The following is a 23,507-nucleotide window of genomic DNA, read 5'->3' as shown; positions in this document are numbered from 1 at the left end:
CAGCCTGGAGACGGGAACCCGGGTGGGGATAGAGGGAGGGAGGGGGAGGAGAGTGAGCGGCGAGTGGAGCGGGAGCCGACTGGAAGAAGGGCTCTAGGGAGGGGGCTGTGGCTGCTGGGGTCCGAGGTGGGGCCGGGTACACCAGCCCCATCACTGTTTGCAGAGAGTCAGGGAGGCGGAAAAGACACGCGCTCTAGGCTCCCATCAGGGCACATGGCCCGGGCCCATCCCCCGCGCGTCTCCCCGGCTGCGGGGCGCGGGGGGCTGCCGGGTGCGCTTGGCTGTGGCGCGGCGCGTTGGAGACTTTATTGCGATGGGACGATAAGAGGGGCGGGGGCGGGGTCCTGGGGGCCGAGGCGGCAGCGCTTTAATTAAAACGGAAATTGCGGCCCCGGGCCGCGCGGGGGCCGGAGGGTTCCAAGCGGCCCCTTAGCTGGAAGCGTTTCTCCAGGACCCCCCCGCAACCCCCGCCACGCCCGGGCTGCCCCCTCCCGCCAGGCCCTGCCGGACCCGGCGCCGTCTTCTCCTCCTTGTCACCCGCGGTCGCTTCGGGCGGGGATCGGTGCCACCGAGCGCAAAGCCTGCCTCGCCCCCCTTCCCCGTCCCCCCCATCTCCCACCGCCCAGTCCCCGGCGGCGATGAGACAGAGCGGCGCCTCCCAGCCCCTGCTGATCAACATGTACCTGCCAGGTACCAGGGACCAGCCGGAGGCTGGTGGCACCGGAACCTGGGGCGGGAAGTCTAGGCTCAGGCATGGGAAGAGAGTGCTGGGGTCCAGGGGAAGGAGAAGTGTCCGGAGATTCGGGTTGCATGGAGGGCCGATTGTAATGTAGGGCACTGGGGAGACCTAAAGGCAGATAGAGAGCTCTGGGTTTCAGTGCAGGGTCTAGAGGAGTTGAAATGAGCAGATTGGGAGCCTGGGGGCCAAGAGCCGGGACTCAGGGACCCGAAGGAGCCTGAGAGGGGAAGCACGGGTCTCTGGCGTGGTGGAGTACTCTGTGGCCGAGCCGTACCAGAAGGCTGTGGTCCGCGGGCGTCTCCCCTGCGCTCTCACGGCTCCTCACCTTCCTGCTACGAGCTTCAGGCCGGCCCTCCAGGCACCCTCCTCTTCTCTTCGCGCTCCAGCTCGGCTGGCGCAGTTCCCCGCTCGGCTTTATAAGGCTCCAGCCGGCCCCTTCGGAAAGCGGATTTCCTTTTTCCTGGACGCGTTTCCTGACTTGGGCTCTATGGAGGGGCTCCGCGCAGCGCGCCTGGACCAGGCTCCGGGAGGAGGAGCCGGGTGGCCCGGGCCCCCAGCCTCGCGCCTGGGGACCACAGCACCCCCCTTAAGCCTTGGCCCGGGGCCCTTTTGTCAAGCCCACAACTTCCGCCCGGGGTTCTCCTGATTCTTTTCTTCTGCTGCTTGCAGATCCCGTCGGAGACGGTCTCTTCAAGGACGGGAAGAACCCGAGCTGGGGGCCGCTGAGCCCCGCGGTTCAGAAAGGTGAGATGGCCGGCGCGCTGGGCGGCGGAGGCGAGGTTGGTTGGGGTCAGGGCACAGGCGGACAGTAGGTGGGAGCAGTGTGGACCCAGGGTTCACACTGAAGCCCGGAGTCCTGGCCTGGTTGTGCGGAGGCCTTGGGAAGACAGTCACTTGGTTTTTGGCTCCTGCATCTCCTGAGCACCAGGAAAAGAGTTGCAGGCCAAGGCAGATGGAGAGGATCCCAGCCCCAGGCCCTTTTGCTGCTGTGTATGGTTTTCCAGGCTTTGGGGCAGGGGCTGGGACACTTAGCGTCCTTTCCCTGCTGGTAGTAGGAGCTCAAGGCCGCAGCACCAGCCGGCAATGGAACCGGGGGAATTACTCCCCAAACACAGCGGGCTTCCCAATCACTAGACCCTGGCTACTGCCACCTGCTTCACCCTCCGGCGCTGACTCACGCCGGCTGATCTCTGCTGGCCAACTCTGCCAGACGATTGCAATTGATTCCCAGGTTCACCACCAGCGCTCCACGGGTAGTCGCTAAATTACCCTTTTGACGGCTGGCTCTTCAAGCAGCGTCTCCCCACAGTCCCCATCTCAGTCGTTACCCTAGATCTCACCAAGAGACAGAAACCACAAAAACGAGGTTGGCGACTGTTTTATCCAGAAGGAAACTATGCCCAACAGGAACGGTCATCCAAGCCGCTGAGGTTGCTCCGCCTTTGGTGCCAGGTGCACCTTTGTACCCAAACCTTCCCTTGCTTCTGACCCTAAAACTTAACTCTGGGGACCAGAAACCAGGAAGCTCTTTGCTGGGCTGGCTTGAAGGGATTGGGATTGAAATTATGGGGAAGGGTAGCGTCTGGATTCTAAGCCAGTGGCTGAAAAAGTAAGAGGGGTTCAAAAGACTATATTTGAGGCAGTAAGCAGACCACTTTGAGGAAAATCCGTTTTATTCTAAAAGGGAGTGGGGGTAATTGTATCGGGATTTTTCTCTGCCTGTCTGCTTGAGGCTCCAAGACAGGGGAGCAGGAATTCTGGGACCCCACTCTCTAACCACTCGCATATCCTGGAAAAACCTCCTTGCTGCCTCCAGCAACCGAATTCGGAGGGAGATCACACAAAGACAGGAGGAGGTTGGTAGCCAAGCACAACAGCTGCTCGGTCCGTTCCCCTCCTCAGAGTTGTTCATCAGGCCCCGAGAACTATGGCACCTTCGTAGGCAGGGAATCCCGCCTGTTCCGAAAATAAGAGGCCAAATTCTCAGGGCCAGCGCAGAGGCCTGCGCACCCGAAGGTGGCTAGGATAGTGAGCCCATGAGAGCTTGCCCCTCCTGTCACGTATAGGGGGCCACTGTTCGTTCCTACTCCTGTCGGATGTGGTGTCCCAAGGGAGCCAGCCACCACTCCACCTCAGGAGTAGCCTGTCCAACTACGTCTTTGGGGACTCGGGACTAGCTGGGCCTTGTCCAGCAGTGGTTGGGGTCGTCCTGCTGCACGCCTGTCCCTTCCCACCTCTGGATGTGGTCCAGCTGGGATGGGGCAGTCCGATCATTCTGCCCAAGGCCGCCCTGTACGGTTGTGCGTCTTTTCCCTAAATAAGGGCGCCCGGCTGAGATGGAGAGTGGCGGCGGATATCTGTCCTTGCTCGCCTTGGAAAGCCAAGTGCCTTGGTGCGCCGCTGCGCTCACGTGGGGGGAGGCAATGCTTCCCCTTCCCCCCAACCCCCAAGTTCCACAAAACCGTGCATCTGGAAAGCTACGTGCTCTTCAGTGGAAGCCGCATTTCCATTGTGCAAAAGCGCGGTAAGGCTACACACCACTCTGCTGATCAGCCCCTCCGGGGCCGGCCTCTCCCGCCGAACGCAGCTGCAGTTTGACTTGCACTTTTCCTCCCCCAGTGCCGGTTCCTGCCGGGGTGGGTCAGTTTCCCGCCAGCACTCTTCCCCAGTTCCCGCCTCCCCGCTCCCGCCTGTGGCTGACCGCCCCCCTCCCCACAGGCAGCGGACAGATCCAGCTGTGGCAGTTTCTGCTGGAGCTGCTGGCTGACCGCGCGAACGCCGGCTGCATCGCGTGGGAGGGCGGTCACGGCGAGTTCAAGCTCACGGACCCGGACGAGGTGGCGCGGCGGTGGGGCGAGCGCAAGAGCAAGCCCAACATGAACTACGACAAGCTGAGCCGCGCCCTGCGCTACTACTACGACAAGAACATCATGAGCAAGGTGCATGGCAAGCGCTACGCCTACCGCTTCGACTTCCAGGGCCTGGCGCAGGCCTGCCAGCCGCCGCCCGCGCACGCTCATGCCGCCGCCGCAGCTGCTGCCGCCGCCGCGGCCGCCCAGGACGGCGCGCTCTACAAGCTGCCCGCCGGCCTCGCCCCGCTGCCCTTCCCCGGCCTCTCCAAACTCAACCTCATGGCCGCCTCGGCCGGGGTCGCGCCCGCCGGCTTCTCCTACTGGCCGGGCCCGGGCCCCGCCGCCACCGCTGCCGCCGCCACCGCCGCGCTCTACCCCAGTCCCAGCTTGCAGCCCCCGCCCGGGCCCTTCGGGGCCGTGGCCGCAGCCTCGCACTTGGGGGGCCATTACCACTAGACGGGGCGGTCGGGTGCCTGCGGCCTCGCCCGCACGCCTAGAGTCTCGCCCGATCCCATCGGCATCCCGGGGAGGGCCCGGGAGCCTCCGTCAACCGTCCTCTAATCCAGAGTTTACTCCACCTGCCGCACTTAGCAGGGGGACGGGACCGAAGCTCCCTCAATCCTTGTCTGGTACTAGATTTGCTCCTGTCCCACCCCGCAGTCCCCTGAGGAGGGCGATGTGCGCCCTCTTTCACTTTTTTTCTTCTAGGTCTCCAGGTCCCGGAGGGGATTTGTGGACCTCTCTTGTCTCCCCACCACTCCAGTGCATTTCCGCCTGGCTCCTAGAAGCCCCATTCAATATCACTACTCTTTAACGAGTGCCAAATCTTTTCCCACTTTTGCTCTTCCCCAAGGAACTGCTCCCACCTCAGCACGTGGAGGCCTCTCACGGTCCTCCTTCCTGGGACCTGAGCAGGTTTGGTGAAAGCCACCGTCCTCCGTGACACACGGCCCCCTTCCTCCTGTCCCCACACTCCCAGGAGAAACTCCCGGTGTGTTTCTGACCCTTTCAGCCCCATTAAAGCTCCTGAGCTCTCCGCTGCCTCCTCTCTCTCTGTTCTTTGCTGCGCCAGAACCCGTGGTTAGGGGAAAGCAGGGAGAGGCTCATCTCGGGCCTGAGCAGAGAACTGCCAAGGAAAACGTCCCGAGAAGGAGGGTGGCGCGGGCTTGGGCGCCGCCCGCAGGCAGCGAGAGGCCTGGATGGTGGGCTCAGCCCGAGGGAGCCGCCTTGCCTCATACCCACCCTGCCAGGCGACCCCAGCTCACCTCACTCCCTTCCGGTTGCCCTTCACCCCACTCTATCCCTACTTCCGTCCCAGCAGACACCCGCACCCCACCCTCCCCATCTCACCCACCCTTCCACCCAACCCTCACCCCACCCCATCCCAGTAGGCACCCAACCCCCACTCCCACCCCACCCAACCCTCCCCATCTCACCCACCCTTCCACCCGCCCCTCACCCCACCCCATCCTAACAGGCACCCACATCACATCTTCCCCCTCTCGCCCATCCTTCCACCCGCCCCTCACCCCATCTTATCCCAATACGCACGCGCACCCCACCCCCTCATCTCACCCACCCTTCCACCCGCCCCTCACCTCATCCCGACCTTCATCCCTCCTGGCGGAGCTTCACCCCACCTCAGCCTTCCCTCAGCCACTTTATTTCATCCCCTTCCCCAACCACCCTCCCCTCCTCGTCCTGCTCTCACTTAGACTTTCTCTCCCTATCCCTCACAAACCGTCCCCTCCCCCCAACATCTGTCGCCGTCTTTCTTCTGCTCGGCCTCCTCATTTGCAGAAGAAGGGGTCTCTCTCCCACCCGGCTCCTGCGCTTGCGGCTCGCAGCCTCCCCTCGGAGTCTAGCTCCTGCACCTCCTTCTCGCGGGCGGTGCGCGCCCTCTGCTGGTCGGAGGAGGGTACGCTGGGGAGAGCTTTGTACCTAAGCCGGGGAGGATTTTGTGCGCCGCGCAGTGCAAACCGCAAGTGCCTGGCCAGACTGAGGACTGCAGGACCCAGTCGTCTCCAGGTCTCCTTTGGCCCTCAGAGAGGAGGGTGAAAAGGGGAACGCTGCATCCCAGGTCTGACCTCTGGAAGCCTGGGAAGCGGGTCGAGTGGATTATTCTCCTGGCTGGGCCCCTTTCCTCACCACCTAGAGGCCCTTCTGAATACTGCGCCCTCCCACCAGGGCCACTGCCCTTAAGTTCTATTCGTTTTTAAACGCCTTCGCTTAGAGGAAAACAACACTGGGGAAGGTGCCTAAAGGGACAGTCCCCAACCTCAAGGCAACTGCTCCTCAAGGCAAGCCCCTGGCTCTCCTTTCCCCCTCTGTCCTGGCTATTCTTTTCCACGCGCACACCTCTTCTTGGGCACAGGAAGGGGCAATGCAGGCGGGAGGCTGAGCAGTTGGGGGTGTGGGGTGGGCCTGACGCCCCTTCCCAAAGAATTTTGCCAGGGAAAGAGTCTTTATTCATTTTCATTTTATTTTTCGCTTTATTTTTTCTGGTTTTCCAAAGAACACACACTCAGCATAGAAAATTTGGAAACACACACCTAAGGCCTCCATGAACTATTGGTTGGATGAAGCGTGTAAAAACGCATGAAGGGGCCAGGCGCGGTGGCTCACGCCTGTAATCTCAGCACTTTGGGAGGCCGAGGCAGGCGGATCAGGAGGTCAGGAGATCGAGACCCTCCTGGCTAACACAGTGAAACCCCGTCTCTACTAAGAATACAAAAAATTAGCCGAGCGTGGTGGCGGGCGCCTGTAGTCCCAGCTACTTGGGAGGCTGAGGCAGGAGAATCGCTTGAACCGGGAGGCAGAGGTTGCAGTGAGCCGAGATCGCACCACTGCACTCCAGCCTGGGCGACAGAGCAAGATTCCATCAAAAAAATAAATAAATAAATAAATAAAAAAGCCAAACCTATAGTCCTGTTACACAGACGCCACTGTTACTATTGATAATTTTTTGTCAAAATCCTCCCTTCCTCCCTTTCTTTTCTCGATGCCTTTTATTTATTTTTTTTGAGGCAGTGTCTCTCTCTGTTGCCCAGGCTGCCAGGCCGAGTGCAGTGGTGGGATTTCAGCTCACTGCAACCTCCGCCTCTCGGGCTCAAGTGATCCTTCCACTTCAACTTCCCGAGAAACTGAGACTACAGGCCTGTGCCACCATCCCCAGCTAATTTTTGTGTGTTTTGCAGAGGGGACGGGGTTTTGCCATGTTGCCCAGGCTGGTCTTGAACTCCTGGGCTCAAGCGATCCACCCACTTTGGCCTCCCAAAGTGCCTGGTTTTACAGGTATGTGCCACAGTGCCTGGCCGATGCCTTTTAAAATTTGATAATACCCTGCTTTCGTAGCTGAATAGAAAACAAGTATGTTCCACATCATTATGCCCGACAGGCCTCCCCGGATGGGAGAGTGGGCTGGTGCATTCATCAAGCAGGTGAGCCAGTCTGGCCTGGTGGGGGTCCTCTGTGATTTGCATGGTGGCAATGAGGGAGGGGGTGCAGCATCAGAGAGCCTCTTTACAGCCCTATTTGCAGGGGTCAGGAAACTGGGAGGAAGAAGAAACACACTGAGAAGATACAGCCAGGATCCAGAAAGATCTGGGTTGCTAAAAATTATGGGCTGAATGTAGCAAAGTAAAATTTCTGGTTTTTGTTGTTGTTGTTTTGTGTTGTTTTTGTTTTTTGTTTGTTTGTTTGTTTGAGATGGAGTCTCACTCTGTTGCCCAGGCTGGAGTGCAATGATCTCGGCTCACTGCAACCTCTGCCTCCCGGGCTCAAGCGATTCTCCTGCCTCAACCTGCCAAGTAGCTGGGATATAGGTGCTTGCCACCACACCCGGCTAATTTTTGTATTTTTAGTAGAGGTGGGGTTTCATCATGATGGCCAGGCTGGTCTCGAACTCCTGACCTCAAGTCATCCACCTGACTTGGCCTCCCAAAGTGCTGGAATTACAGGTGTGAGCCACCGCACCCAGCCACAAAGTAAAATTCCTTAGGAAGAACTGTGAGGCCCTGTTCTTACATCTTTAAATGAAACAACAGAAGTCAGAGTCTTGGCAAAGATGGGGCTCAGCAGAGCCTGTGTGTAAATGAGTAATGTCCTAGCCAATGTAACGTTAAATAGGAACCTGTAGGGTGAAGTGCAGAAAAATCATTGTGATTTGAGGATGCATTGATGGAGCTGTGACACCTAAGATGAAGGAAGTGGTCCACTTGGTTTAATAAGTCTGCCCCCAGGAACATTGTGCACAGTGTTGCTTTCAGGAAGAGACCAAGTGGAGGACACACAGTGTAGTAGTAGGCCCAGGAAGTGAAGAGGAAAAATGGTGGAAAGCCAACAACAATATGAGATGTTTCTGGAAAGTCAACTGGGAGAAAGGGGGATGGGAGCTGTCCTCATTTATTCAAAGTGCTGTCCTGAGAGAGAGGACCTGGATGCCTGTGACTAAGGGCAGTATTGGGACACGTGGTTGGAAGCTCCAGTAAAACAGATGTCACCTTGATCTAATGAAAAGCCTCTGCCATGGAACATGTTGGGTGAGTTCTCTGTCACCAGAGTGTTCAGCAGACCCTTCTGTGAGAAGCAGAGAGGGGAGGTGGACTAGGCGACTTCTCTAACCTTGAGACTCTTGGAATCCTGTGAAGGAGTCAATAAAGGGGGGATTTTAGTCATTGTTGGGGAGCTGGGGGAGATATTGTTAGATTAAGGGATCTTCTTACCTATGAAATTGCATCCTTAAAGCTCACCCCATTACTCTGTTCTTTCCTGTCCACATAGCCAGTTTGGGAGGCTAAGATATAGAACTGGGAACCAGAAATTCTGAGTTCCAGTTGCAGCTTGGCAACTAACTTGCTGTGTGACCTTCACATAATCACATCTCTTTTCTGGGATTTCATTCTCCTCTCATTTAAATAATAAGGCTGAACCAGAGATTTGCAAACTCTGCTCTGTGGAACTTTAAGGGTCAATTAGGTTCTCTCTGTTCCAAAAAAAAAAAAAAAGAAGAGCTGGAAAACGTCTATCCAAGATGACCTACAGGTCGAACCCAATCTCAGAATGCAGTAGATGGGTATCCTCTTCTCCAGATTATCTCAGCTCTAGGAGCCCCTGCCTTTGTGATGTCTCCAAGCCCTGAGTTACTGTGGTCTTGGCAGGACTGTACTCCACCCAATCCCTGAAGAAGCCACAGTCTTACCACACTCAGCTTCCTGATGATCCAGGCCTGTCCTCATGGACCCTTAACCCCTTGGTCCTTGGCTCTCCAAGGTATCGATCCCACCATTGCTTTCCTCTGCCAATCCAGGGTCAAGCCCCTCTTGCATTTTCTGAAGTTCTGAGCCTTTTCTTTATCACCTCATTCAAGTCGCTAGTGAAAGTATGGTTCACTCCCCTGCCGTATGCTTGCACTACAGTTTACAAAATGCTTTCACACCCATCACTTTTTTGACCCCTCCAAGGTTAGGAAGACAGGGCAGGTATTGCTTTATCTGCTGGGAGGATAAATAAACGAAGGCCCCAGATGTTAAATGACTTGGTTGAAGTCCCAGGGCTTGTTCTAAGACCTGTATCTTCTTATTCCTCTGCCAGACCTTTTCCCACTGCTCCAAGTGACCTTTCCACAGTCCTGAGCAGTCACTGATCACTTTGTTTTTAGGATCATTCCCATGCAGGATGACACAGACCCATATCTCCTCCAGTAACATGCGCTCTGTGCAACTAAGCTCCACACACTATCACTTGCAGATGGAATTAGAAGCCCTGCTAACATGCAGCTTGAGGACATTCATGTCCATACTGTTTGGGACCTGCACAGTCACAGTGCAATGATGCCACTGAAGGCACTGAGGCTCACAGAGCACTCTCATATGCCAGCTCACGTGACCATAGACAGACATCATAATGGGCCACTGTGATGCACTTTTCTCAGAGCCTTCTGCTCTTCTGGCCTCCACCTTTCCTTTAATATGTCTTTGAAATGCACCAAAATGAACTTGTTTCTTTAGCTATTTATAATCCATGTCAAGTGGATCTGCTGATGATAAAAGTATGCCTTACCACTCATTGAACATGACTCTGCCAGGCTCTGCCCTATGCTAATGTTTTACAGGTGGTATTTCCTTTGACCTGGCTACAACCTTACCAGATGGGGATGGTTATCTCTGTTTTCAAATGAGGGAACCAAGGCTTGGAGAAGTGAAGTGGCTGGGCCAGCCCATGACCTGACAACTGAAATCCTTACCATCCCACTAGATCCCCTCTTACTGGCCTTCCTGGATAGCTTCTTCCTCATGTAAACATGACCTGCTGCTTGCCCAGTACAGGTGCACACCGCCTACAATTGGTTATAAAGGACAAACTGACAGCTTGCCTTATGAGTGTCCTTGGTTAGGTCTCTGTTTGATAAGGAAGTACATTTTGTCCCTGATAAGAAATAGAGACTATTTTGTTGCCCCAATGCCTTTTGCAAGCTTTCACTTTCCTAACTGAGGCGCTGCAGGCTTGGAGAAGATCACTGTACTCTGAGGTGGGGTGGGGCTCTGATTATATATTGACTTGAGTGGCATTTCCTACTTTTGTTTGGTCAGCAGGATTTCTCCATGACACTCCTCCATCTTGGGATGACGCATGTCATGTATAGAGGTGAATGGTTCAATGTCCCATTGACTGTGATGTTTCCTATTTCTTTTGTTTTCTTTGTTTAGAGATAGAGTCTCACTCTGTTGCCCAGGCTGGAGGACAGTGACATGATCATAGCTTACTGCAACCTTGAACTCCTGGGCTCAAGAGATCTTCCCATCTCAGCCTCCCATGTAGCTGAGACTACAGGCATGCACCACCATGCCCAGCTTGTTTTAATCTTATTTTGCTTTTGTAGAGATAGGGGTCTCACTGTGTTGCCCTGGCTGGCGTCAAACTCCTGGCTACAGATGATTCTCCCACCTTGGCCTCCCAAAGTGCTTGGATTACAGGCATGAGACACTGTGCCTGGATGAATATTTCTTTCTTTCTTTCTTTTTTTTTTTTTTTTGAGACAGAGCCTTGCTCTGTCGTCCAGGCTAGTGCAATCTTGGCTCTCAGCAACTTCCACCTCCTGGGTTCAAGTGATTCTCCTGCCTCAGCCTCCCATGTAGCTGGGATTACAGGCACCCATCACCACGCCCAGCTAATTTTTGTATTTTTAGTAGAGATGGGTTTTCACCATGTCGGCCAGGCTTGTCTTGAACTCCTGAACTCAAATGATCCTCCCACCTTGACCTCCCAAATTGCTGGGATTACAGGCATGAGCCACTGTGCCTGGCCCCAGCTAACTTTTTCTGTTTCTGAGAATTCTCTCCCACTGGATCCTGTTTGCTGTTTCTTTCCTAGCATACCCTTCTTTGAAAACAAAAGACAACATAGCTTAGTGGTTTGGAGGTTTGGGCTGGACTTCCAGGGTTTAAAAGCTCTGACACTTGCAAGCTATGTGACGTTATTCAAGTTACTTTACTTCTTTGTGCTTCAATTACCTCATCTGTAAAATGATAATATCCATTTAACCTACCTCATAGAGTTGCTATAAAGATTAAATAACGATTTAAGTACCTTGCTACATATATCAGTGCTTTCTATTAAACAAGCAGACAAAACAATCCAAAACAAAGCAAGCACCTGCCTCCTCTCCCTCTCATCCCCATCAGATGCCCTCCACATGCCCTGGAAAGGAACCTGGGCTTACTTTTCCACGCCAGCCCAGTCCTTGTCCTGGGCCCACATGGTGAACTTCACCAAGAACAAGCCTCTTGACTGGCTATGGCTCCGCAACCACTATCACATGAGTTGGCCTCCTATACTCAGAACATCCTCCGTTTCTTTATGAAGTAACAAAAGAATGTATTGAATTTCAAATTGTAAGATCTCAGCTAGCTACTAGCTATGTGACTTTAGGAATATGTCTACACCATTCTGACACTTAGTTTTCTCCTCTAAAATGTAGATAATAGTAATGCTTACTTCCCATGATTCTATGTAGACTATTACATGAAATTTGGAAGTGGGAAGTTTTCTTGTTACAGCAACTAACATTACCATAACTGATACCCATATTATATTTGATCTTTACAATAATACCCTGAAGTACACATTATTATTTTCTTCACTTTATAGATTAGAAAACTGAGCCACAGAGGGATTAAGAAACTCGTCTAAAGTCACACAGTGAGAAAGGGCAGTGCAGGATGCGGACCTAGTTTGATTTCAGTGGCAGTGAATTCTCTTAACCACTAAGGATGTGAAAGAGGTTTATATGCTCAAGCCTCCTAGAAGTAATAATAATAAGGGCTGATACTTATTGAACCTTTATGTGCCAGGCACTATTCAAAGAGCTTTACATTCATTTAATTCTTACAACCCTCTGGAGTTGGCTCTAGTGTTATTCCCATTCTATAAATTAGGAAAACTGAGGCACAAAATGTTAAATAACTTGCATGGGATCGCAGAGCTGCCAAGTGGTAGAGATGCATTTCAAGCCCGGCCAGCCCAGTTTTCACTCTATCCCCACCCCTTATTCTCTGATCTTCACTACTGGAAGAATGAGCAGATTCTGAGATTCTGAGAGGCCAAGGAAGTAGCAGAACTATATGCCCAAACCCCAGCTCAACCTCAAGCCAGGTGCTCTATTCCAGCATTCACCAGGGGTTCCAGACAAATAGCAAAGTGAGAAATGCATTTTAGAAGTCTTGTGGTCTACAGTGACCCTTGCAAATATCTCGAACAGCATGGTGGAGTAGAAGGAACCCAGAAGGGCGTGGCTTCAGACTCATCCACTGCCTATTCCCTGTGAGACTGAGAAGGCTGCTTACTCTCTGTGAGGCTCAGTGACCTCATAAAATGGCAACACTGATCATACCTGCCTTGTTGGTTTGCTGCAAGGACAGAGCCTGTGCCTAGAGAGTCCAGCACAGAAAGCTGCTCTATAACTGTCATCCCCCACACTGATCAGCCCAGAAGCAAAGACCCGCCTTGCAAGTTCATCCCATTTCCCACCAGTCTAATCCTCCAATTCTACACCCAGTTCTCCCTCCATGAGGCAGAGATGCTCTTTCCTTGAGATTCCTTCCTTCCTTGAGGTCAGAGAAGAAGGAAGTAACTAAAGGAGGCTGGAAGGCCAGACCTTGAGCATTAGGTTCCTTTTTTGGAAGAGGAGGTCAAGTTGCTTAGCAACACAGCAGGAGGTTGTCAGGGAGGCTTCAGGCAGCACTGTCCGTTTTTATCCTGCAGTATGGAGAGATCTGGAGCAACACAAGATAGGGAGATGGATGGGAAAAGTGACAAAAGATCCCAGGCTCCGATGATAACCTCTTGGAGTCAGCCTCCTTTCCTATGATCACCTTCCCAATCCCCCAACCTTTCCCCCTGGTTTTCTACTTTTGACACACAGTTCTAGGGCATCTTGCACACACATTTGTGCAATGGCCATGTCTATGACCATGAACATGAGGGCCAGACTCAGGACCACCTTGTATTTATTATATGCTTTACAACTTACAGATCACATCATAGACACAATTTCAAATGATACTTGCAGCAGCCTCATTAATCATGGGAAAAGGCAAGGCATATGGCTCATGCCTATAATCCCAGCACTTTGGGGGACCAAGGTGGGCAGATAACCTGAGGTCAGAAGTTCGAGACTAGCCTGGCCAACATGGCGAAACCCTGTCTCTACTAAAAATACAAAAATTAGCTGGGCATGGTGGCGGGTGCCTGTAATTCCAGTTACTTGGGAGGCTGAGGCAGGGGAATCGCTTGAACCCGGGAGGCGGAGGTTGCAGTGAGCCCAGATCATGCCACTGCACTCCAGCCTGAATAACAGAGCAAGACTCCATCTCAAAAAATATATATAATATATATTCTTATATATTATACATTATTATATATAACATATTAATATTATACATTATTGTATATAACATATTAACATTATACATTATTGTATATAACATATTAACATTATACATTATTGTATATAACATATTAACATACATTATTGTATATAACATATTAACATCATACATTATTGTATATAACATATTAACGTCATACATTATTGTATATAACATTAACGTCATACATTATTGTATATAACATATTACCGTCATACATTATTGTATATAACATATTAACGTCATACATTATTGTATATAACATATTAACGTCATACATTATTGTATATAACATATTAACGTCATACATTATTGTATATAACATATTAACGTCATACATTATTGTATATAACATATTAACGTCATACATTATTGTATATAACATATTAACGTCATACATTATTGTATATAACATATTAACGTCATACATTATTGTATATAACATATTAACGTCATACATTATTGTATATAACATATTAACGTCATACATTATTGTATATAATAATATATATCAATATTCTATATATAATATATCAATATTCTATATATAATATATCAATATTCTATATATAATATATCAATATTCTATATATAAAATATATCAATATTATATATATATATATATATGTAGTGGGAAGATGATCATGATTCCTATATAACAGATGAGGAAAACAAAGTCCCAAGTTCCCACAGTGAGGAAATAGCAGAGTCCAGATTTGCTGCAAATCTCAGGATAGTTCTACTATACCCTGATGCATGGACATTAGTGCAGTCATTAGCAACGTGTGTGCATGCCATTCTTAGGGCCTAGTGTCCCAAGATGCATCTCCTCTCACCCCTGATCAGCAGGGGAATTGTGAAGGAAGGACTCAGCTGTTCTTCCCTGTTGGTTCCAACCAGCCTGGGGGGATCCCTGGAGTGGGAAGTCCCAAAAGGGGCCTGGCCTGCTGGCCCAAAGACCTAGACTCAAGAATGTTGCTATGTTAGGCCAGGCTGGCAAAAGTATCTACATACTGACAGCAGAAGCAAGTCCTCTGGCTGGCATTCTAAAGAGAGGCACGTGGGTCACACTGGGACCAAGGCCTGGCAGCAAGGAGTAAACACAGTCATCCAGGTCACAGGATAGCTCATGGGAGGCCCAGGCCTTCAGGGCTCCCCACTATCTCAGGGGCCAGCAAAGCTGGTTAGAGCACCCCAGGGCCCCATTCTGGACTCTGTCCCTGTCCTGGTCATTGTTTAGTCCCTGTTAATAGTTATTAATAGTGCTGACTACTATAGCAATAGTTCTTACCCTAACAACAGTAATATGTCATTCCTATCATAGGCACCTGATAGACACTAACCCAAGATCTTATTCCGATCTGATAGATGAGAAAACTGAAATTCAAAGAGATTGAATTGCTGTCTTCGATTAGTAGCTAATATATGGTAGAGGAGAGACTCAAACCTCTGACTCATAGTCTTTTGTTCCGTGCATCACATCACACTAACTTTAAATGTCAGGGAGGAGAAAGGACCCCCAGGGGAACATTCAGCCACCTCCCACTCCTATATCCCCAAACTGCACATGCTCAGGACCATGTAGTCCAGCATGGCTCCGTTGGTGCTCTATACAGGACAGGTAATTTGAATAATTATTTTGATTAAAATTGTATCAACTTCCAGAAAATGATTTTACATGACTTACCATATTAAAATGTACATAAAAGAAGATATTCAAATTTAAAAGACAAATTTAAAAAGCCATTGGTAAAATATGAGAAGTATTCTTATAAAAGGGAAAAGGAAAGATGTCTTTTTTATCCCTTTTAATTTTGTCATCACTACTACCACTGAACACTGTACTGGAGAGCCTAGACAATGCAACAAGACAGGAAAAGATATACACTGTGTGTAAATATTGAGAGGGAAGATACTAAAATTTCCTTGTTTACAGATGATATGACTGCCTACCTATAAAATCCAAGAGATTCAACTAGAACACGGTTAGAACTAATAAAATTCCAGTAAGGTATAAGATCAACATACCAAAAAAAAAAAAAAAAAATACGGCTCCCCTATAACCCTGTAAAAAGAAGAAAAGGAATTGAGAATTGCAAGCTTACAACAGCAATACAAATATGCTCCCAGATCAACCTAATGAAAACATGAGAAACATCTAAATAAAGAAAGCTATAAATATTCACTAAGGAACTGAAGTAAGAAGACCTGAGTAAATGAAGAGACTGAGCACGTTCCTGGGTGGAATGACTCAATATTGCAAAATTGACATATCTCCAAATTGATCTATAAAAGTGATGCAGTCCCAATTCAAGTCACAAAGGGATTTTATGGAAATTGACAGGCTTGGTTCTCAAGTTCTTCTGTACTGTGATTAAGAATAGACAAGACACGACCAGGTACTGTGGCTCATGCCTGTAATCCCAGCTTTTGGGAGGCTGAGGTGGGTGGATCATTTGAGGTCAGGAGTTCGAGACCAGACTGGCCTACATGGTGAAACCCTGTCTTTACTAAAAATACAAAAATTAACTAGGCACAGTGGTGCATGCCTGTAGTTCCAGTACTCGGGAGGCTGAGGCAGGACAATCACTTGTACCCGGGAGGTGGAAGTTGCAGTGAGCCAAGATTGCATCACTGCACTCCAGCCTGGGTGACAAAGTGAGACTCCATCTCAAAAAAAAAAAAAAAAAAAAAGACAAGACAATTTTAGCAAAAGAATAATGAGCATGCTGCAAAACTAGTTATTAAAGAAGTGGTTTGAAACAGCAGTAGTTAAGCAGATTAATGGAACAGAGTAAAGCCTCGAAATAGATTCATATGTGTGGGAATTTCATAAATAATAAGATGGTATTTACTGGGGGTAAAGGAAGACTGTTCAACGATTGGCACAACTTAGTAGTCATTTGGGGAAAATAATTATATCTCTACCTCTCGCCACATACAAAGTTGAATTCCAAAATAGATTAAAGAATGAAATGAAGACACTATAAAAGCACCAGGATAAAATTCAAAGTGTTTTAAAATGCAAAGTAAAGCCAACCAAAAACCTAGCACAAATCAAGAACAATTGAAAAGAGAAGAGAGGCCGGGAGAGGTGGCTCACACCTGTAATCCCAGCATTTTGGGAGGCTGAGGCAGGCAGATCACCTGAGGTCAGGAGTTTGAGACCATCCTGGCTAACACGGTGAAACCCTGTCTCTACTAAAAAATACAAAAAATTAGCCGGGCATGGTGGCGGGCGCCTGTAGTCCCAGCTACTCGGGAGGCTGAGGCAGGAGAATGGTGTGAACCCAGGAGGCGGAGCTTGCAGTAAGCCGAGATCGCGCTACTGCACTCCAGCCTGGGCGACAGAGCGAGACTCCATCTCAAAAAAAAAAAAAAAGAAAAGAAAAGATAAAACATCTAGGAGAAGTTAGTTACCATAGGTGTGTTCTAAAAATGTGTATTTGGTGGCATGCTTATTGGCAACCAAAGGTAAACATGCAGACTGTCACACCTTTTAGTCCATTTATTCTTTTATTCTTTGTTCTAAGGAGGTAAGTGGGCAAAGACGTGACACACAAATGCTTATCATAACATTTATCATAATAAAAAAATGGCTATTACCTGAATAAACATCAGCTCTTATTTATTGAGAGCCTACCTCATGCCAGGCACTGTGCTAATTCTCATTATTCAAAGGATATGAACAAGTTAATGTGAAGAGAAAAATTTCCCCTAGCTTTATTATTTGAATAAAGGACAGTGGATCTTCTATGGCACTTATGAAAAAGATAGAGAAGTGCTTTTTAAATGCTCTTGGATGGATCCTTGTAAGAGTGTGCACATATGTGTGTCCATGCTCTGTGTGTGGGCATGCACCTTATATGTGCTTTGTGTGTAATAGACATGGCTGCCAGGCTGGACAGGAGCTTAACTCCCCTTATCCAGCAAGGGACATTGTTAAACCCTAGGGATTTGGAAACAGCTTGGGGTTGGGGGAAGGAGCAAAGGGACTTTGGAGATGTGTGAGAGGGGAGTGGGGGACATGGCTGCAGAAATGTGTTTCTCCTTTTCCAGACACTGTCCAGTGTCACTTTTTTTCCTGTTCCTCCTTCCTTATCTCTTTCTCTTTCCCTCTTCCTTCTCTCTCTCTTTCTCTCTCTCTCTCTTGCTCCCTCTCTATTTTTCTCTTTTTCTTTCTTTCCTTATAATTCTCTTCTTTTTTAGGTCATAATAATATATTTTCAGGAAGATAAATGCTATGAAGAAAATAAATTAGGGGCATGTGATTGAGGGTAACTGTGGGACAGATTGAGATTAATTCAGGAGATGATGATGAGAAGGAGGAGTCTATTAAGTCGAGATCTAAATAACAAGAAGGAGACAGCTGTTTAAATCTCTCTCTCTCTCAGAAATGGGATGATATGACAATGTTTTCAATCTCCTATTTCCATTTCATCGTGCCATTTTTGTCATGTTGATAAATATATATTGATGTACAATTTTTTTTTTGAGACAGTCTCACTCTGCTGCCCAGGCTGGAGTGTAGTGTGGCTCAATCTTAGCTCACTGCAACCTTCACTTCCCGGGCTCAAGTGATCCTCCCTCCTCAGCCCCCCAGTAGCTGGGACTACAGGCACAGCCACCATGCTCAACTAATTTTTGTATTTTTAGTAGAGACGAAGTTTCACCATGAGGCTCGTCTCAAACTCCTGAGCTCAGGTGATACACCTGCCTCGGCTTCCCAAAGTGCTGGGATTGCAGGTGTGAGCCACCGTGTCCAGACTGATGTACAATTTTTTTTTTTTTTGAGACGGAGTCTTGCTCTGTGGCCAGGCTGGAGTGCAGTGGTGTGATCTCGGCTCACTGCAACCTCCGCTTTCCAAGTTCAAGCGACTCCTCTGCCTCAGCCTCCCGAGTAGCTGGGACTACAGGCACGCACCACCACTCCCGGCTAATTTTTTGTATTTTAGTAGAGATGGGGTTTCACCATGTTGGCCAGGATGATCTTGATCTCCTGACCTCGTGATCCGCCTGCCTCGGCCTCCCAAAGTGCTGGGATTACAGGCTTGAGCCACCACGCCCGGCCTGATGTATAATTTTTAATGGTCCATAATATCCCAGTGAATATCACTTTATCACAATTTACTTAATCTCCTTCTAATGTTCATTTAGGTTGTATCCAATTTTTTATTATGATAAACAATAGTATGACAGGCATCTATGCATCAGATCTTTTCCCACTTATCTCCTTAGGGCAAATTTCTGGAAATGTGGTAGCTAGATCAAAGAGCATGCTGCCTTTCACGTTTTGATCCAGACAATCTCCCCAAAAGACTAATTAGCATGTTCATTTTCCCATGCTTTCCCTATGGTTGGAATTTTCCATTTTGATAATCTGTGTCAGTGTAAGAGATGTAATATCTCATTGCTGCTTCGACTTGAATTTCTTTGGTCAATAGTAAAGGTAAGTATCTTTTTATTTATCATTTGCTTACATTTCTTTTCTTTCTGACTTTCTTTTTTTTTTTTTTTTTTCCTGAGACGGAGTCTTGCTCTGTCACCCAGGCTGGAGTGCAGTGGCGCAATCTCAGCTCACTGCAGCTCCCAGGTTCAAGCAGTTCTCCTGCCTCAGCCTCCCAAGTATCTGGGATTACAGGCACACACCACGAAGCCCAGCCAATTTTTTGTATATGTGTGTGTGTGTGTGTATATATATATATATATATATATATTTTTTTTTTTTTTTTTTTTTTTTTTTTTGAGACGGAGTCTCGCTCTGTCACCCAGACTGGAGTGTAGTGGCGCAGTCTCGGCTCACTGCAAGCTCCGCCTCCTGAGTTCACACCATTCTTCTGCCTCAGCCTCCCGAGTAGCTGGGACTACAGGCGCTCGCCACTATGCCCGGCTAATTTTTTTTTTTTTGTATTTTTAGTAGAGACGGGGTTTCACCATGTTGGCCAGGCTGGTCTTGAACTCCTGACCTTTTGATCTGCCCACCTTGGCCTCTCAAAGTGCTGGGATTACAGGCATGAGCCCCCACACCTGGCCTGCTTACGTTTCTTTTTGCGAATTAGTTGTTTCCAGTTTTAGCTATTTTTCTATTGAAAAATATATTGTGTTGCAAATACATTCTCTCCATTTGTCACTGGTGTTTCAACCTTGTTTTTATTGAAAGGATACAAAATAAGTCAATAACAAAAAAATTATCAGGTGGGAACAAATGCTATGAAGAAAATAAATTGGGTTATGTGATGAACTTTTTTCTTTTTTCTTCTCTATGTCTCTGACATTCAAAAGCTTAAATGGAGTCTCAGATGAATCAGTCTGTTCCTTTAAGGTCTTTTTACTGCTAAAAAGACATTCTCCACCCACCCCAAGATACAATATAATAATAATAACAATAAATAATCCATATTTTCTCCAGGTGTTTTGTTTCCTCTTTTGGAATTAGGGTCTCACTCTGTCACCAAGCCTGGAGTGCCGTTGTGTGATCATAGCTCACTACAGCCTCAAATTCCTGGGCTCAAGTGATCCTCCCGCCTCAGCCTGCCAAGTAGTTAGGACTACAGATGTGTGCCACCATGCTTAGCTAATTGTTTATTTTTTGCATTTATTTATTTATTTATTTATTTATTGTTTTGAGATTGAGTCTTGCTCTGTTGTCCAGGCTGGAGTGCAGTGGTGTGATCTCGACTCACTGCGACCTCCACCTCCCAGGTTCAAGTGATTCTCCTGCCTTAGCCTCCCGAGTAGCTGGGATTACAGGCATGTGCCACCACACCTGGCTAATTTTCATATTTTTAGTAGAGACGGGGTTTTACCATGTTGGCCAAGCTGGTCTCAAACTCCTGACTTCAAGTGATCTGCCCACCTGGGTCTACCAAAGTGTTGGGATTACAGGCATGAGCCACTGCGCCCGGCCAACTAGGCAACTTTTCTACCGCTCATCTACACTCCTATCCTGTGTGTGTAGATATGACCTTCTTTGTAGGTTTTGTGGCAAATGCTGAGAGGGAAGCTCATACTTTTTTTTTTTTTTTTTTTTGACAGGGTCTCATTCTGTTTCCCAGGCTGGAGTGCAGTGGCGTGATCCCAGCTCACTGCACCCTCCACCTCCCTGGTTTAAGAGACTCTCCTGCCTCAACCTCCTGAGTCCCGAGTAGCTGGGAGTACAGGCACGCAACACCATACCCAGCTAATTTTTGTATTTTTAGTAGAGACAGGGTTTCACCATGTTGGCCAGGCTAGTCTCAAACTCCTGGCCTCAAGTGATCCACCCGCCTCGGCCTCCCAAAGTGCTGGGATTACAGGTGTGAACCACCACTCCCAGTCAGGTCATGTTCTTAAATAAGGGCCTTTGAAGTGTTAATCCTGCTGTCTTGAAGCCACTCACAGCAAACGTCTATATTTAAAGAGACCAGAAGTGCTACTTAAAGTGGGGTACCTAAAGAAGATCAGGCCCATACACCTGGCTTCCAGCTGTCCCTGATCATGATGATGTGACTGGAGGGGCTTCTTCAGCAGCCTCTGTTGCAGACATCTTCAAAAGCTGCCCATCTGGTTGCCTGGGGTAGGATCCCAGTAAGTGGAGACCACAGGATGTCCTCTTGAATACTGTTAGATGCTCTGGTTGCTGGGCACCCCGCCTGGCAGGCAAAGCAGTTACCATGACAACTCCCCCCACATGTCTGTGATTTTTTGCATTTCTGCTTTTCTAATAAGTAGCGAGGTATTCCAGGGACAGGGGAACATGGCTCCAAAACAGAATGTCCTCTGTTCCAGGAAGGGGGACAGGGAGGAAAGGAGTAGAGGTGTGTATATGTTATGATTCACCAGTATAAATGCATTTGTGTCCACTTCTGGGTTAAAATGTGTGCCTTTGGTTATGCGTCAGTGTACGCATCAACATGTGTCATGTGAAGGGGTGAATTACCGGTTATCTGTCCATTTGCTTTCCTGCCCTCACAGCTGCTCCTGTGCTGGGAGAGTCACTCCAGCCCTTTGCTTAGGGGAATTGCTGAGTCATTGCTCCAGCTGGGTTTCTGTCTCCTTTCCTCCACCTCCATCTTTTCCTTAGTCCACCCCTCTTCCTTTCTGGTTTCTCTCTAAAATTCTGGTCCCCCTGCACCACCTTATCAGCAGCTTGGACTCACTTTCCCCAGGTTAACTCAGCGTCAGGAAAGAAGGTACCTTATTCTGTTTCTGCACTTACTCCCTCCTCCCCTTGCCTTCTCAGAAGACTGTTCTGGGTCTTTCTCCTTACAACTTCTCCCACTCAATCCCTGAGAAAACAGGACTCCGATAAGTCTGACCCAGGAGGCTAATTCTTCCATGTATTCTTGTTGATCCTTCTCCAGTCCCTCCCCTCCTAATCGGATTATGGCAGTGTTTCATGCCTTGGGGCATGTCAAAAGTGAGATTTAACTAAATGTTACTCACTGTGGCCTTTTTCTCATTCTACGTCTCCAGGTGCCAGACCACAAGTTCCTGGAGGGGTGTGTGTGTGCAGTAAAGGGTGGGTGCTGTGTCTAAGAGTTCAGGGGCAGTATCCGAAGGCAGGATGTTTGTTGGGGGTTGAGGGGGGCGTCTCTGTAGGGTCTCTGCTCTCTTTCCCATCCCCTTTAGGCTCCTCCAATTCAGAAATTCTAATCAAATAGCTAGTCTCACTAGCTAGTTCCAAATAAGGTGGACCAGGATTGTTTCCCCAGCCAGAGGTGGGAGAGTAGAGCGGCTGCCCAGCCCGCTCAGTCTGGTTACTATGGCGACAGCCGACAGCCGCGGAGTGACCCTAGTGATCCTCCCTCCCTCCTCCCAAACCAAGAGAGATGACGGCACCGCGCTGACTGCGCCAAATTCCAGCCAATGGGCGGCTGCTCCCGCCTTCCCTTCCGCCAGCTCTCCCCCTCCCTCCGGGAACTCAATTCACAAATCTGGACTGGGGATTTCCGGCTCCAGGCAGGTTACAAGGGCGCTGGGCTGAGGCCAGGGGAATCGAGTCCTGTCGTCCCGGGAGGGCAAGTGGGGACCGACATTTTTGGGTTCTGGAGCCAGACTTCTATAACTCGCCGCCAGAATAGATGACACCCTATTCCCAAATTATCCGGAAGACCTAGTTGAGGCCGAGTCTGCAACTCTTCCTGCCCTTACAAGCCCCGACCCCGCCCGAGCGCGCCATTCAGCACCACGGACAGCGAACCCGGGCCTCGTCTTGGCAGGTCCCCCCGGGTTCTTTCCGGATCTTCTCGGCCACGGCCAGACTAGGGTCGGAGCCGCGGGCACTCTGTTGAAGCCAGGCCTCTTTGGGCCAATGAAACAGTGAACAGGGCGCTTAGCCACGTGGCTAAGAAGGCAATGGGGACCGAGCAGGGATCTCAGGCTAAATAGCGCATTTTCCTTCCTGTTTCAATCCCAGAGAATGGCTTCCTTCTCCCCAACTGCCCTTGTTTGCCCCTTCTTGGGGATAAAGGGCAAGGGTCTGAGTCTCAAGCAGGGATGGACCCCCCAAGACTCCTGAGTGGGCGTGCGACCTGGGCATCGTCGAAGCAGCCCCATGGTGGTTGGGGGATGAGGAGAGAAGTATGGCAGACAGGCCCCACTTGGGAGTGGTGAACACAGACTTAGGCCCGACTGTACTCTTGACCGATATATGGTGGGGAGAGATGGGGAGGAAGGGAAAAATAGCAATAAGGACTAGCTAGTTCTGCCTCAATGGGTCTCATCACAGAAAGGGCACAACTCCGCTGTCCCCATGATTCGGTCTCTAAGTGGCCCGGGCATTAATGAGGAGCTAGGTCAGACAAGATGGAGGCGGAAGTGGGGGGATGGATTCAGCTTTATCACCAGGCCTCACCCTCAGCTGCCTCGCTTTACTCTTTACTCTCTGTAAAATGGAAGCCGATGGCGGGGGTGGGGATGGGGAGGAGGAGAAGTTCTCAGGTACTTGATCTCCCCTACTAGAGCCCCATCTCTTGCCTTTCTGCTCTGTCTGTGACAGTTCCATTACCA

General features: G+C 49.4%; 1 protein-coding gene and 1 long non-coding RNA gene across 4 annotated transcripts, besides 2 other annotated features; one reads left to right on the top strand and one right to left on the bottom strand.

The window, feature by feature from the left end:
• FEV (FEV transcription factor, ETS family member) lies at positions 530 to 4,627 on the top strand. 2 transcript variants are annotated; one of them, NM_017521.3, is made up of 3 exons: positions 530 to 690; positions 1,409 to 1,483; positions 3,458 to 4,627. In NM_017521.3, exons 1-3 carry the CDS (start codon positions 639 to 641, stop codon positions 4,045 to 4,047), a joined length of 717 nt encoding a protein of 238 aa, NP_059991.1. In that variant the 5' UTR covers positions 530 to 638; the 3' UTR covers positions 4,048 to 4,627. The 2 variants fall into 2 exon arrangements, with proteins under 2 accessions (NP_059991.1, XP_047300778.1); XM_047444822.1 differs by having other exon boundaries at positions 625 to 829.
• Positions 5,630 to 5,729: an enhancer, noted in NCBI's record as "active region_17137". NCBI's record gives its function as "activates an Ori minimal core promoter by ATAC-STARR-seq in GM12878 lymphoblastoid cells {active_cell/tissue: GM12878}" and the evidence as "EXISTENCE:reporter gene assay evidence [ECO:0000049][PMID:35858748]".
• On the bottom strand, positions 7,792 to 9,430 carry LINC00608 (long intergenic non-protein coding RNA 608). 2 transcript variants are annotated; one of them, NR_024385.1, is made up of 2 exons: positions 8,316 to 9,430; positions 7,792 to 8,232 (listed from the first exon to the last, which is right to left on the bottom strand). It is a non-coding gene; the product is annotated as a long intergenic non-protein coding RNA 608 (long non-coding RNA). The 2 variants fall into 2 exon arrangements; NR_015390.1 differs by having other exon boundaries at positions 8,792 to 9,430.
• Positions 21,201 to 22,400: an enhancer, noted in NCBI's record as "MED14-independent group 3 enhancer chr2:219828036-219829235 (GRCh37/hg19 assembly coordinates)". NCBI's record gives its function as "activates an origin of replication core promoter dependent on BRD2, BRD4, P300/CBP and CDK7 cofactors, and independent of MED14, by STARR-seq in HCT116 cells {active_cell/tissue: HCT116}" and the evidence as "EXISTENCE:reporter gene assay evidence [ECO:0000049][PMID:35650434]".

This window comes from Homo sapiens, chromosome 2 (assembly GCF_000001405.40).
Source record: "Homo sapiens chromosome 2, GRCh38.p14 Primary Assembly".
NCBI lineage: Eukaryota > Metazoa > Chordata > Mammalia > Primates > Hominidae > Homo > Homo sapiens.
Note: the sequence above shows the minus strand (reverse complement) of the source record. Positions and strands in the feature narration are given on the sequence as shown.

Excerpts from the sequence above, each read along its gene's own strand:
- FEV (NM_017521.3), top strand. The coding sequence starts at position 639 with ATGAGACAGAGCGGCGCCTCCCAGCCCCTGCTGATCAACATGTACCTG. Across the intron at positions 691-1,408 it reads GATCAACATGTACCTGCCAG|ATCCCGTCGGAGACGGTCTC; the intron begins GTACCAGGGACC and ends TGCTGCTTGCAG. Across the intron at positions 1,484-3,457 it reads GAGCCCCGCGGTTCAGAAAG|GCAGCGGACAGATCCAGCTG; the intron begins GTGAGATGGCCG and ends CCCTCCCCACAG.